The sequence below is a fragment of the Homo sapiens genome, chromosome 15 (assembly GCF_000001405.40).
Source record: "Homo sapiens chromosome 15, GRCh38.p14 Primary Assembly".
NCBI lineage: Eukaryota > Metazoa > Chordata > Mammalia > Primates > Hominidae > Homo > Homo sapiens.
Window position 1 is genome coordinate 30,552,017 of NC_000015.10, and position 14,874 is coordinate 30,566,890.

The 14,874-nt window shown below is 48.8% G+C and overlaps 1 protein-coding gene and 1 pseudogene across 1 annotated transcript, besides 3 other annotated features; both read left to right on the forward strand.

The window, feature by feature from the left end:
- Positions 1–2,267: part of a non allelic homologous recombination region, noted in NCBI's record as "15q13.2 beta inversion distal recombination region, recombines with the 15q13.2 beta inversion proximal recombination region", that runs on past the window's edge. NCBI's record gives the evidence for it as "EXISTENCE:nucleotide sequencing assay evidence [ECO:0000219][PMID:25326701]".
- Positions 34–13,668, forward strand: GOLGA8Q (golgin A8 family member Q). Its single transcript, NM_001355476.2, has 19 exons — positions 34–109; positions 1,776–1,895; positions 2,785–2,844; positions 3,026–3,106; positions 3,958–3,996; positions 4,259–4,306; positions 4,395–4,479; positions 4,575–4,684; positions 5,735–5,821; positions 5,928–6,035; positions 6,231–6,318; positions 6,695–6,951; positions 7,207–7,275; positions 8,520–8,595; positions 9,027–9,118; positions 9,693–9,793; positions 9,876–9,973; positions 10,069–10,224; positions 10,310–13,668. The coding sequence occupies exons 1-19, from the start codon at positions 62–64 to the stop codon at positions 10,483–10,485; spliced, it is 1,899 nt and encodes a 632-aa protein (NP_001342405.1). The 5' UTR covers positions 34–61; the 3' UTR covers positions 10,486–13,668.
- Positions 8,440–8,939: an enhancer, noted in NCBI's record as "H3K4me1 hESC enhancer chr15:30852659-30853158 (GRCh37/hg19 assembly coordinates)". NCBI's record gives its function as "activates a minimal SCP1, AML or CMV promoter by ChIP-STARR-seq in naive H9 embryonic stem cells {active_cell/tissue: H9 hESC(naive)}" and the evidence as "EXISTENCE:reporter gene assay evidence [ECO:0000049][PMID:30033119]".
- Positions 8,628–8,918, forward strand: RN7SL796P (RNA, 7SL, cytoplasmic 796, pseudogene; annotated as a pseudogene).
- Positions 13,799–14,874: part of a non allelic homologous recombination region, noted in NCBI's record as "15q13.2-13.3 gamma inversion proximal recombination region, recombines with the 15q13.2-13.3 gamma inversion distal recombination region", that runs on past the window's edge. NCBI's record gives the evidence for it as "EXISTENCE:nucleotide sequencing assay evidence [ECO:0000219][PMID:25326701]".

Genomic DNA, 14,874 nt, shown 5'->3' on the forward strand with positions numbered 1-14,874 from the left:
ATCGGTTCTTATTGGGATTTTGCTGCTGTGGCCCCAACCCTTCCTCCCTCCCCACCCTGCAATGGCAGAAGAAACTCAACACAACAAATTGGCTGCAGCCAAGAAAAAGGTAAAAACGCACTAGGTCATAGCCCCTCAACCCAGCCACAGATCCCCTCTGATGACAAGACCCCTGCCAGAGTCTATATGACTCCTGAGGCACACTGGACTGGTCCCCCCAACCCCGGTGCCTTGGGCTACCCCCACCAAAGTTTTGTCAGTCAGCCCCACCCCTTCAGCAAGCAGCCCAGTCCTTGCCCTCGCCAATCACCCCAGGGTGACTTTGGGTGGGTGACTCCTGGGGCTTCCCGCTCCATTACTGGGCCCTCATCTCCTGCCGCCCCAAGCTTGATCTCCGTGGGCTCTTTGGGCTCTCATCTCCAAGGAGCCAGGCCCCACCCTCGCCAGTCATCCTTGGGTGACTTTGGGCTGGTGACTCCTGGGACTCCCTGCTGCAGACTGTGCCCTCCCCTCCTGCTGCCTCAAGGTCGACCTCCCTGGGTTCTTTGTGCTGGCGTCTCCAAGGAGCTGGGTCCCAACCCTGTGCTTCCCTCCCCCATCGTGGAGCAGCGACTTGGACATGGTGCTGACATGGTCCCTCCCCCCGACCAGGAGGAGTGGAATGTTGTGATGTCACAGTCCACCTAGTAACTGCCGTTACTGCAAGACTGGCCTTTGACCTTACGACCCAGTCCCCTAAGCGTTCTCACCCCGTTTCTGGTTCCTCTGGTCACAGCACAAATTTCCAGCTGGAAGGGGAATGGAGACTATGGGACCTAGGAGCAAGAGGTTCCAGGCTGCCTCACTCCCTTACAGATGTTGACGGTGGGAAAAGCCTACACTTCCCCCATGAACTCAAAACATTGACAGTATCTCTGGGTGGCAATGAGAGAATGGGTTTGATTTGGTTTTCTCCCAGGCTTCTACTTTCCAGAGAGATTTTAACATTTTTTTCTGAGTTCTCCACCTCATATTCTAATTCTCCATGGTTCTGGGACCAGACTCTCCTTCAGTCAGTGGTCTCTGAAGTGAGATTTGCTCATCTTCTGTGGAATAGATCTTGGGAAACTGAACTTGACACCTTGAATCTTCCTCATATTATCTCAACCTTGGGTACTTTGAGTGCCACAGGATAAATGTGGGACATCTTTCTGAAGCATCAGTTTCCCTTGATTCTCTTGAGATCAAGAGAAAAAACATGAATGTACTTAGGGAGGACAGTCACATAGGTTTCTAAGAGTATACCAGACCTCTCTCTGAAATGAGGCTTGGGTTGTCCTCTTTCTGATAAATTCTGATTTAAGAGAAAGGCTGCCTTCTGCCATGAGGACACATTGATATAAAAGTTTGAGAGGTACTGGTGCACTTCTTCACACTAACAGACGTGTGAGGATGTATGACTAAACCACATGGCATACAGTTCCTGCCTACTTAATGTTTACTTTTCTACCTCTGCCTCTGGTTTTGGTCCCTGGCAGCTGCTGATTCTTGGCAAAACCTCAGAGCTTGGAGTCAGAAGACTGAGTCTCAAAGTTCCAGTATTGCCTTTTTCTTTTTTTTTTCTAGCCATGATATCAATCCTTCTCAGTCACTAAATGAGTGTGACAACACCTTGTACAGTTGTTGGTGTCATTAAATCAGATGGTGTGTAAGTGTATTTTGTAAAAACTGTAAAGGAGGTTGTGGCTGTAGGGGCTGACGGTTCTCATGAATATTACTGCTCTTCTTTCCAACAGTTAAAAGAATATTGGCAGAAAAACAGACCTAGAGTTCCAGCAGGAGTGAACAGAAACAGGAAAACAAATGGCAGTATCCCTGAGACAGCCACTTCCGGTGGTTGCCAGCCACCTGGGGATGTGAGTCTTGGCTGACCAGGCTTCTGGGGACAGGGGGCCCAAGGGGCAATAGAGGGTAATTCTTAAGATTGTGGATGGACTGCTGGGTACTGGTTAAGAATTCTGGCTTTAGCCGGGTGTGGTGGCCCACGCCTGTAATCCTAGCACATTGGGAGGCCAAGACAGGCGGATCATGAGGTCAGGAGATCGAGACCATCCTGGTTAACACGGTGAAACCCTGTCTCTACTAAAAATACAAAAACATTAGCCACGCGTGGTGGCGTGTGCCTGTAGTCCCAGCTACTCAGAAGGCTGAGGCAAGAGAATGGTGTGAACCTGGGAGGTGGAGCTTGCAGTGGCCAAGATTATGCCACCGCACTCCAGCCTGGTGAAAGAGCAAGACTCTGTCTCAAAAAAAAAAAAAAGGAATTCTGGGTTTGAATCCTGCCTCTCCATCTGCTCTGCTAGGGATATGATTTAGGGCAAGTTGCTAGACCTCATTGGGCCTCTCTTTTCACATCTGTATAATAGAGGTGTTATTGTTTCACTTCCATTTGTGAAGTTTAAATGAGATTTGTTATTGTTGTTTTTATGTTAATCCCTAGTACATGGCCTGCTGTAAACACTCAGGACACCCAGGATATGGTTTGATTTTCCTCATCCCCAGTCTCAAGGGGAAACCAGGACAAAGAGAACAGCCACTTGCCATCAGGAGTCACTGAAGGGGCCCCAGGATGGGATGGTGGGGAGATAAGAACCATGAGAGAAGTTGGCACAAAGGAGTTATGGGACAAAAGGTCCAAGATAGGCAGAAAAGAAAATGTTGCAGTTGATGGGGAAGAAAGGAAGTCAGAGGGCTCAGACACTGTGGGGGACAGAACATCTCCATGTGCACTCTCATCTCTTGTAGTCAGCAACAGGTTTCCACAGGGAAGGCCCTACATCATCTGCTACCCTGAAAGATCTGGAGGTAAGAGGCTCTGGGCGGAGGTGCAGTGACCCTTCGGGTCAACCCTCCAACCTCCTCCTCCAGGTGGGACTGGGTGCCCCTCTGCCAGCTGAGACAGCCCACACACCCCAGCCCTAACGATCGTTCTCTCTACCTCTCTCCCCACTCCTGCTCCACCTCCTCCTCTCTGCATGCACCTCAGAGCCCGTGCCAAGAACGAGCAGTAGTCCTGGATTCAACGTCCGTAAAAATCAGTCGACTGAAGAACACCATCAAATCTTTGGTAAGAGTCCGGTGGGGTCCCCTGATTCCACGCTGCCAATCCTGGGCTCCAGTTTCCCCTTGGGGCCCTGAAGAAAGGGGCTGGGGGTCCCTGGTGCCCGGGACAAATAGGGAGCTTGGGTGCCCAGGCCTCACCTGGAGGGACCCCAGAGCATGCAGCATGGCTCTTCTTTTGCTGCCCTCTTTGCCGACTCTCTCCTCTCCAGACACCCCTGCTCGAGTCCTTGCTACACACGCCCTGGGGTTGTTGCCTCTTGGGGAAGTGCTAGCCTGACTGGTTGTCAAGGTCCCCGTATTTCTGCCATGACTCAGTCCCTAATTTGCTCTTTGATTCTGGACAAGCCACCTCTCCTTTTTGGGCTCGTGTTTCCAGAGGAGGTAGTGAGTATCAAAGGTCTCTGTTAGCTCTCGAGTCTGAGATTTAAAGGCCCCCTAGAACGGAAACCTCAGGGCTAAGGGCTCCTGTCTGTCCTTTTCCATCCTATATCTGCTGTGAAGAACCGTACCTGGCCCATACGTGCTCAGTAAGTGTTTATTGAATGAACCCACTTTTCTAAATCACAAGCTGCCAGAAGGAGGGGCCTTTCTGAAACTCCATCTCTAGAGGTTTATGTTGCTGTCCTCTCAAGAGATTCCAGATTCAGACTGAGTTCTGTGGCTGTGGGCAAAAGCCAACAAAGACCCAAATCCTCTGTCCTTGGGAGCTTGAGGAGAGTTTACCGGTTCGTGTTCCCATTATGTCTGAGAACTTTGCCTTTAAAATCCATTCCTGGCCCCTGCCTACCGCTTCCTGATCTGGGGAATAGAGTTGAGGGGGCCACCCTCCATCACCTTATTTGACTCTCCCCACAGAAACAACAGAAGAAACAAGTGGAACATCAGCTGGAAGAAGTAACGTGATTTCGTTTCCTCGCAACATGACTGCTGGGTTTGGGGGGCACTCAGACATACAGGCCCCAGTCTCGTCTCACCCACTCCCAGCCTGGGGAAGAAGGCTCACCCCTCAGATTCCACCCCATCCCCACAGGGCCCCTGATAACCTGGTCCCATGGGTGGGCCTGTCCTGGGGCATTGGTGGCATTCTGGGGGCATGTCTCTTGCTGTGCCATCTCTGCCTCCCCCTGGTAAGAGCTCTGTCTTCCTCTTCCTACAGGAAAAGAAAGCAAACAACGAGAGACAGAAAGCCGAAAGGGAGCTAGAGGTGAGTGGAGGGTGTGCAGTTTCCTCCTGTCCTCCGGAGAATGTTTCTTTCCTTCTCTTTCAGCACTTGCTTGGCTTTTCTCCCAAAGGTTCAAATCCAGACATTGATCATACAGAAAGAGGAACTAAATACGGACCTGTACCACATGGAACGTTCTCTCAGATACTTTGAAGGTGGGAATCTGGGCACCCTGTCATCCTTCAACCTGGCACTTTGACAGGTCTTCAGGGGGAGTCCTTTGGGCCCCATCTCAACTCTCTCATTACAGAAGAGTCCAAGGACCTGGCTGTCCGCCTGCAACATTCATTGCAGTGTAAAGGAGAGTTAGAGAGGGCTCTGTCTGCTGTCATCGCCACAGAGAAGAAGAAGGCAAACCAGGTGAGTCCAGCCACCTGCCCCATCCCCTGGGAGCCTGGTTTTGCAGATGGAGGAGTGAGCCTAAAGGTCCCTTCTGCAGGATGGCGTGTCCTGCCCAGAAGGCAGCATGGCCATTTCTTGCTACTTTTTTGTATGGTTTTTAGTGGCAGCCTGGGGCCGAGTCAGCTGCTGTGGGTGAGTTGGGGGGTACTGTGGGGAGTGAGCACTGGAGGCAGAGCTTGGAGGCCAAGTGCCTGCCCCGCCCTTACCTGGCTGTGGTCTTGGGCAAGTCCTAGGTGGGGTATTGGGTACTTGTACTGTGAAGGTACAGAAGAGTACCTTTAGTATGTTACCATTTCTGTAGAAAGAGGAAACGCGTGCATGTGTGTGTGTGTGTGTGTGTGTGTGTGTACATACTGTGATAATATACATAAAACATGTCTGCAAGGGTTCATAAAAAATTCAGGAGAGAGAACAAGATGGCTGGGAGATACTTCCCTTCTGTACCTTCTGAGTTTTGGACTATGTGAATGTATCATCCTGTCAAAAAGTGAACAAAAGATTAATTTTCCCCTTCCTATCTGTGCCCCCATCCCCAGCAAGAAAAATGGGCTTAGAGAATTGGATAGACCTGGGTGTTTATATCCCAGCTCTGCCTAAGTGAACTTAGGCAAGCACTTAACCTCAAATACTCCATGTTTTTTCATCTCCACAATAGAGGGAATCATAGTAACTGTCTCCTATGGTGGTTGCGAGGATTAAATGGGATTGTTAGCACGGTACCTGGTGAAGCATTCCACAAAGGTTCAAACAGTGGTAATAATGACAATAATAACAATAGCAATATTATCTGATCTCTCTGGGCCTCTGTTAGCCAGCTATAAACTCAGTCTCATTCCCTGTCCGTTCCAACTTTACTGTGTTCTTTTAAAAACCAGACCACGGGCTGGGAAATGCCTTGATCTTTACTGACCGAGTTGTATATTGGGCCTAGCCCTAGCCCTGTTAAGGGGCACTGTGTGGAAATGCCCAGGCTCTCCAGATTGAAACTTCTAACTCTTCACCATCCAGTTGTCCAGCTGCAGCAAAGCACATACAGAGTGGGAGTTAGAGCAGTCCCTACAGGACCAGGCACTGCTGAAAGCGCAGCTGACACAGGTGAGGTTTTCCGAGGGAGGGATGTGGAAGGACGATGACCCCAGGTGGCCAGGAGCAGGTGAGGACCAGTGACAGCCCTTCCTAACTTCTGTGCCCATTCTTGCAGTTGAAGGAGTCATTTCAACAACTCCAATTAGAAAGAGATGAGTGTGCTGAACATATAGAAGGAGAGAGGGCCCGGTGGCATCAGAGGATGAGTAAAATGTTGCAGGAGGTGAGATCTGACCCTTCAGCCCCCCCACATTAGATAGGGCACTGGATCTTTCTGGGCATCTGTAAAATGGGAATAGTAGAGCCAGAGGTGGTCATGGGTCTGGGCTTTGTGGAGGTGGGGGCAGAGAGGGAGAGGGCAGCCTGTCCAGCCTCCAGCCCCTCTCTCCAAGGCCCTTTCCCCTTGTGCTTTGGGCAGATTTGCACATTAAAGAAAGAGAAGCAGCAAGATATGCGTCGGGTAGAGGAGCTGGAGAGGAGCTTGTCCAAACTCAAAAACCAGATGGGTAAGATGGGGCTGGCATGACCTGGGAGCAGGACTGGCATCAGAGGGCTGTGAGGGTGGCTTAGAGTGCCCCAGGGAGGTGGGTGGATGGAAGGGCTTTGAGGCAGAGGGAAAGAGATCTGTGCCAGGAGACGGCGAGTCTTGTCATCTCAATGAGTCTCAGTGTCTCAGTGTCCCCATCAGCAAAGAGGGCCCGTTGCCAGCCACCCACAGTGCTCTTTCTCTGAAAGTCCTTTGGAAGACTGGCTACCATCTGGGTGCGAGGAATCATTAGCAGTGAGGCCAAGTTTGAGGAGCCTGAGAGGAGCTGTGCGCCAAGAGGAGGGTTTTTCTTTTCCGAGAATCCAGAGGCCCTTATTATCTGCTTCCTTTCTCAGCTGAACCCTTGCCCCCGGAGCCCCCAGCAGTGCCCTCTGAGGTGGAGCTGCAGCACCTGAGGAAGGAACTAGAGAGAGTGGCAGGAGAGCTCCAGTCCCAGGTCAAAAACAATCAGCACATAAGTCTCCTGAACCGGCGACAAGAAGAGAGGATTCGGGAACAGGAAGAGAGGCTTCGGAAGCAGGAGGAGAGGCTTCAGGAGCAGCACGAGAAGCTTCGGCAGCTGGCCAAGCCACAGAGCGTCTTCGAGGAGCTGGTGCGTTGCCCCAACTGGGGAGCCTGCCCTCCTCCCTAGCCCTCCGGGCCTTTGTTTCCCCACCTCTAAAATGGGGCAGTGTAGCCCTCGCGTGAAAGGTTACTTCTAAAGGCACCTGTGAGCCAGGTGGCTGTGGGAGAGAGGGGGTGATTTTTCTAACCTGCCTCCAGCCTTCCCAGTGCCATGGGAGGCAGACACCAAGTTCTGGGGTCTCCAGCTGCAGTGGGTGGCTGCTGATTGTTTCTCTCTGTCCAGAACAATGAGAACAAGAGCACACTGCAGTTGGAGCAGCAAGTAAAGGAGCTACAGGAGAAGCTTGGCGAGGTGAAGGAGACGGAAACCTCCACCCCATCCAAGAAGGGCTGGGAGGCGGGCAGCAGCCTCTTGGGAGGGGAGGTGCCAGGTCAGAGGCAGCTTCCAGCCTGGGGGCTGGTGACCACAGCACCCCGCAGGGCAGTCCTGCGACTGTTTCTCGCTTCCTGCCTCTGACTTTTAAAGGTGGGTAGCCCTGGGCTCCTCTCAGGTCTGGACATCATCATCCCAGCTAGAGGCATGGAGCCCCCAATCACAGGGGAAGAGACAGTGCTATAACAGGCTCCTTATACCAGGTGCAGTGGCTCATGCCTATAATCCCAGCACTTTGGGAGGCTGAGGCAGAAGAATCACTTGAGGTCGGGAGTTTGAGATCAACCTGGCCAATGTGGTAAAACCTCATCTCTACTAAAATTAAAAAAAAAAAAATTAGCAGGGCATTGTGGCGCATGCCTGTAATTCCACCTACTCGGGAGGCTGAGGCACGAGAATTGCTTCAACCCAGGAGGTGGAGGTTGCAGTGAGCTGAGATTGCACCACTGCACTCCAGCCTGGGCCACAGAGTGACACTCTTGTCTGAAAACAAAACAAAAAGACTCCTTAGATTGAAACTGGATTCCAGCCTCGGTTCCACTGGTCACCATTCAAGTACTTTGCATCTCTAAGTCTCTGTTTCTTTAACTTCAAAGGGAAGTTAGCATTTTCCTTACAGAGGTGCTGAGGATTAAATGAGAAGAGGGTATGAGATTTGAGGCTGGGGAAGGAGGCATGGGGTTCTAGGAAAGGGAGGCAGTCACTTAGGCCTGGAGTAAGGGGACAGGGGCCTGGGTAGCTGACAGAGCCCCACAGTGCCCTCGCTACCCTATTAATGGGCCCAGAATCTGGAAACCAGCCACCACGTGCCCTCACACCCAGGGTCTTCCTGCAGGTGTAGCTGAAGAGCCAAGAGGTTCAGAGTCTGCAGCAGCAGCCAGACCATTACCTGGGTCACCTGCAGCAGTACGTGGCCACCTATCAGCAGCAGGTGGCCGCCTATCAGCAGCTGACCTGTGAGAAGGAGGCGCTGTACAGGCAGTGACTGCAACAGACCCAGCTAATGAACCAGCTGCAGCAGTAGAAAGCTTGGGGCAAAGCAGTGGCCGAGATGGCCTGCCAAAAGTTGCAGGAGACCCAGGGGAGGGAGCTGCCGAGGATGGGGCTGTGAGGGGGACGACCTGGCAAACTCCATCCCTTCTCACTCTTTCCTGGCCCCTTAGGAGCACCTGGAAGCGGCCAGCCAGCAGAACCAGCAGCTAACGGCCCAGCTGAACCTCATGGCTCTCCCTGGGGAAGGTACGGGAGACCGCTCAGAGGAAGAGGAGAGAGCCCCAGGAGGAAGGGGGGACTGCTAGCAGCATAGGATTGAGGAGTTGGAAGAGACCTTTAGAGCAGCTGGTCATTATGCCGACCGGGTGCCTGCACTAAGTTCGGCATCAGTGTGGTGACCTCCTGTGAGCGGGCAGTCACCAAGTTGCCTAAGGGTGGCTGAACTGGCCAAGGTCAGAAAGGGAGCAGGTCAGAACTCCCACATCGACCAGTAGTGGGAGTGTGCCTGGGCGGAATAGCAAGATCTTGATTCTTAAAAGTAAAAATAAAGAACAACAGCTCATTCCTCTCTGGGGAGGGGCTGGCTCAGGGTTACACAGTGAGGGTGGAGGTAGAGGTGGGCCCACAGTACCTCCCTTGTTGGGTTGTCTGAAGACCCCTCTGGCCACCCCCCACAGGACACGGAGGAGAACATCTGGACAGTGAGGGGGAGGAGGCACCTCAGCCCATGCCGAGTGTCCCAGAGGACCTGGAGAGCAGGGAGGCCATGGTGAGCCTGACTCCCCCTGCACCCATTTTGCCACCTTTCTCTGTGGTCCCTCCAAGACCCCTTTATGCTCTTCGTTTCCCTGCCTTCTGATTTCTCTGGACCCTCACCCCTTCCGAGAGCCAGTGGTCAGACACCATTTCACCTGTGGCCAACATGTGCACTCTCTGAGGCCCCAAGGGAAGGGGCTGCGCTCCACCTCTCTGCCCCATTTCTTCTGTGTATGCCCCTAGAAGAATGCTCACATCTTGCCCTCAGGTGGCATTTTTCAAGTCCGCTGGAGCTAGTGCCCAGGAGAAGCAGGCACAGTTACAAGAGCAGGTGAAAGAGCAGAGGGTGTGCTGCCAGCGCCTGGCTCACCCGGTGGCCTCGGCCCAGAAGGAGCCAGAGGCAGCCAGAGGCCCTGGAGCCCCAGGGCCTGGGGGCGAGTCTGTGAGTGGGGAGACCCACTGGGCCCTGCAGGAAGTCACGGAGAAGCTGGCCCATGCCAGGACTCACCTCCACCTTCTCCATGACTTGAAAATGCCACCTGAGGGCAGGTCGCTGCCGAGATGTGACTGCAATATTTTGGCTCCAGAGCAGCTTTATGGACCACCTGAAGGAGAAGGCAGACCTGAGTGAGCTGGTGAAAAAACAAGAACTTCGCTTCATTCAATACTGGCAAGAGAGATGCCATCAGTGAGTGGGAGGCCAGGGCACGGCAGGGGGAGCTACAGGGCCATCAGAGGGGCCCCAGAATCTGAGCCCTGTCCTCCCGCAGGAAAATCCATCACCTTTTATCAGAACCAGGGGGCCGTGCCAAAGATGCAGCACTGGGAGGAGGACACCATCAGGCTGGAGCTCAGGGAGGAGATGAAGGTAGGGTGTGCAACATCTCTGTGGGGGTGGGGGTGGGGGTGGGTGTGAGGGTGGGCGCAGGCAGCGGCATGGCAGCTGAGCACCCCTCCCTCCAGGTGAAGCTGCTGGAGCTGCAGCAGATGGTATTGCGGCTTACAGCAACTACAACAATGGGCACAGAAAATTCCTGGCCGCTGCCCACAACTCTGCTGATGAGCCCGGTCCAGGAGCCCCAGCCCCCCAGGAGCTTGGGGCTGCAGACAAGCATGGTGGTGTGTAGAGCCCTCAGGTGGGGTGGGTAGGCAGGAAGAGGGGGGCTCCCACTGTGCTCAGATCCCCGCCTCCCTCTCTCCAAAGATCTTCGTGAGGTGACCCTCACCTCCTCTGCCCAAGGAGAGGCCAGGGAGGATCCTCTCCTTGACAAGCCTACTGCACAGCCGATCGTGCAGGACCACCAGGAGCACCCAGGCTTGGGCAGCAACTGCTGTGTGCCATTATTTTGTTGGGCTTGGCTGCCAAGAAGAAGGAGATAAACATCACCATCATCAAACAGCTGCTCAAGAAATTTTTAAATAAGAAACCAAGTTATGGGGTTAATCTCCTACACAATTCATTTACTTCCTTTGAATGTTAGACTCACTCATGATTATTTGTGTTTCTAATTTATAGTTTAAGTTTATTTGTAAAAAGTTAAAAGAGAGTGGGTGTCTGTGGCTCTCACTGATGTTCACTCTGGCATCCTTTAGCATTTTTCTTTTTTAATTTCATAATTGTAGGTCATTAGCGTGCATATCGAGTTTGCCCTTACGTGGTGGGAGTTCAAACACACAAAGACCCACTCTTTGCCCAAAACTGTTCTCTTTGGTTTGGAATAGGCTGCCATGCTTTTTTAATGTTATTGCAGCATGTATATTCACTACAGCATTCAGACAAAATTTGCCTATGTTCTGCTGTTGTTTGATGTAATCTTAATCACAGTGAGCTCTTCCTTAGCTCAATATGTAGTTTGCCCCCAAGTGTGCACTGTTTATTACTTTGTAATACGCCACTATGAGTACTGACATTTAGAGTTGTTTAAAGGCCAAGAATTGGAAACAGCCTTTCCTCCATTTTCTGTGTATTGGTGATGGGAGTGATAACCTTTTGGGGGAGCTTTTTAAATCTCACAGAAGAGGAAAGTGGCCTCCTCTGGCAGGTATGTGCAAGATAGAGTGTGTTTCATCTCTTCCGGTGCCAGGAATTAGCGGTGTATTATGGTGGTGCCCTTAGGATTTGTATGTGCTCTGGGCTCATGAAGATATTGCATCATGAGCTGCAGCAGTTGCACTCTTTTTCGATGACCTAAAAAGGGCTTATTTCTGAGGAATGAAAGGTTCCCATCGTTGACTGTAGATGTGGAAAACCTTTCCTAGCTTAGAGCATTTGTATCTACAATACATTTTAAAGTCAGAGTTCATGTTACCTGTTTTAATCACATGACTACATGCCCCAGTACACAAAAGGGCACTGGTTGGCATTCTTCTTAATGTATTTAGTGAAGATCATAAGAAATCCTTTACGAGTTCAAATGTCCCTGGAACAGGCATATAGGCTCTAGTCAAGAATGAATTAGAGTGAAGGAAAGCTGTGTGACTCCTGGCATTCCTCTCTGTTCACGGAGATTCTTTGAGGCTTGAAGATTGATTTTACCATCTAGACCTCTTTGGCTAATACCTATTCTTCAACCACCTTGGTTACTCTGACATAGGAATTTACTTCTTTTTCTTTGAATGGAAAACACTTTAAAAAAATAGAAACATTCTTATAAACTAATATATGTGAGATAGTTGAAACAAAAAGGAGTTTTAGTAGATGGTATTATACTATCTTTGAAAATCAAGGAGAAGTTTATGAAACTTAAAATGTGTACAAACTGCAGTGCAATCTACTGTTGTTCGTGAATGTCAATGTATTATCAGGAAACGTGTCTATACAACCACAGAGTTATATTTTCTCACAAACTTCTTTACAAAGTGAAATATGTTTTTGTACCTCTGGGTTTCTGTTCGGGACATATTTTGTGCAATATTTATGTGATTGTGCCTATGCATGATGAATGAATGCATTTCAGTTATGTATTGCCTAAATCGTAACTTGATGATGCTTGGGAAAGACTCAACAGTTCAAACTTCATGAAGTTCTAATGTCTGTGTTCCAAAACACATCACATTGTTAGGATGCAGGGAGATAGGTGTGTGTGCTCCCTGCGGTGGGGATTTCTAGTTACTAGATCATCTCCATTTTTAGCATTTGGCATCCTCATGATACTTCTATAAATATGACATTAACAGGAGAGCAACAATACGATTTTACCGATGGAATAACAGATTTGCTGGCATTCACTGAAAGAGTGCAAATATTCGGTCCTTGTGACTTCCACTGACTCTTCCAAATTTTATGAATGTATCAATGTATTAGATAAACCCAGTTTCAGAATGATAAAGAAAAAATCTTAGACCAAATAATGCGGCTAATTAACAGTGGTACGATTTGTAGCCCGTGGGTTTAAAATGCACTTAAAGTCCTGTTCTCGCCTTTTATTTTCTGAACTTGCCGCTTTTGCATTCTTTGAGTTCAGTTTAAAGACAGTTACTTTAAGAGCATTTTAAACCCTCGGGCTAGAAATCGGACCACTGTTAATCAGCCACATTATTTGGTCTAACGTTTTTTCTTTTATCATTCTGAAACTGGGTTTATCTAATACATTGATAAATTATTGCAAAGGTACTTTTATCGTTGAAATCACTTCACTTTTACCCTGATAAATATCAGTGACTAGGAATGACCTTCGGATAGCGTTTAGCATCTGTAACCAATCTGACAATAATGTGTTCATGAGGTGCCTATGGATTAAATCACACACTGGCATATTTAAGCTGAAGGTCAGTCTGGAAAATAAATTTACTATATTGACTGAAATACCACTCTTTGTGTAGGTATTTGTCATATATTTAAGAAAAAGCTAAAAAGAATGGAAATTGTATGACAATAACTCAAGTCTTTCTCCAAAGTGCATGCAGTCTTTTGCGATACCTCATTCAGCCGAGTATTTGTGCTCTTCCTCATTCAGTATAAGGCAGCTTTCAGTTTGCTTAGAAGGCAACATTGGAATGTTAGAGTTCATCAGAAACATAGAATTTTAAACTGTGAGTTCCACTGAATACATTTTGATTTCTGTAGGAAGAATCAAAATACCTATTTAAAGATGGCAATGTATAATAATCATTTTAAAAGTATTTGATTAAACCTGATAATTTTCCAGAAATGAAAAAAAAAATCAGCTCTAAAACCAAAGCTGATTTTAGAAAATTTGAAAATGTAAATCAGCCCTATCCATAATATAGTTTCTCTAAAACTTTATTTTAAAGAGTCATTTTAAAATAATATAACTATTAAAAAATGTAACTGCTATCTTAATGTTCTGAAATAATTTAAAACATTTTAAAATATGAATACTGTAGTATAAAAGAAAGAAATGGTGGGAACGAAAAGCAGAGAAAGAAATGCCAATTCCAGTCCAAAGTTTTATTTGCCAAGTTTTCTTAGAATGAATTTTACCAGTTTATGAATTATTGTAAAGAGAATGTGTCGTGGAAATACTGAAAGATTTTTCCCTAGAGTGGCCTTATTGACTGCTGGTGTGATGCCACTGTAATGTAATAAATTTTTAAGTTGTTTCAATGTGTTGTTTTTGTCTTAAAATTTTATTTTGCGTTTCTTGAAAACTATAGTATTAAAGGTATTGATACTGTGCAAATGCTGGGCATGCTTGGCATGAGATAATGTGTTTCATTTTTACAAAGTTGTGATATAACTATGCAAGTGTTTCTTTAAAGAACACAAGATTTTAAAAGTTATGGGATTAAAAAAGTTATGGGGTGAAAAAGTTATGGGATAAAAAATGTAAAAACGTTGTGGCAAAAAAACTTGTGGGAACAAAGTAGAAAACAGTATTATGAAAAGTTACAAAAAAAGTTATGAAAAAGAAGTTACGGGATTCTTTTTTAAAAAGTCATGGAATAAAAATAAAAATTAAAAGCAGGCCCCTGTCAGCAAAGCCTGGAGAAGTGGGGCCGGAGTCTCCACCGCCACCATGTCCCTACCACCCCTTCCCAGGCAGCCCTTTACAATTAGGGTAGCAGGACAAGACCTCTGTCTAATGGGGAAAGACAAACAGACCCTTTGCCACCCTGACCAGGGCTGAGTCCCTAAATTTCTGGATGATGATGATTGTTATTTAAGAGCCAGAGGCTGGTGGAGTTGGTTTGTTTGGAGGAGGCCTGATGCCCCCCTTACTCTCACCATAGCAACTTTTCCCTCAGGGGGGCTCCCTTCTTATTCAGAGAGGCAGGACAGTGGGGCTAACTGTGGACCAGGCGAGGGCACGGGCTGCTGGGGTGGCCCCCGTTCCCCGGTGTACACATTGTGTCTGTGTAAGGTTTTGTATATTCCAGAGGGTAGGGCCACCCCTGTGTCATACCTAGCTGAGGTTGGAGCTGGCACATGGGGAGGAGGTTGTAATAATTATTTGTGGCTGGGAAACTTATTTATTGCTAGCATAGGACAGAGGAAGGAGGTGGGGATGGGGTCATGGCTCCCTGGTGATGCGACTCCTGTTTATTTTGCTTTTTATTTTGGAATAAATGGATTTAGCCATACTGCTCGGCCTGGTGTGTTTCCGTTTCCCTCACTGGGTCCTGGAGTTTGTGCCACCAAACAAGGAGTCCCAGAGTGTCTTGAGCATGTCCAGCTAGGCTGTTGGGGACCTTCCAGGCGTGTTACCTGTATGCTGCCTGGTGGCGCCTGGGGGATTCCAAGGGGACTGCCATGTAGTCTATGGGGCGCAGTCTGGCCCTGACAGCCAACAGGCTCAGAAGCCTGAT

Excerpts from the sequence above, each read along its gene's own strand:
- GOLGA8Q (NM_001355476.2), top strand. The coding sequence starts at position 62 with ATGGCAGAAGAAACTCAACACAACAAATTGGCTGCAGCCAAGAAAAAG. Across the intron at positions 110-1,775 it reads TGGCTGCAGCCAAGAAAAAG|TTAAAAGAATATTGGCAGAA; the intron begins GTAAAAACGCAC and ends TCTTTCCAACAG. Across the intron at positions 8,596-9,026 it reads CATGGCTCTCCCTGGGGAAG|GACACGGAGGAGAACATCTG; the intron begins GTACGGGAGACC and ends CACCCCCCACAG.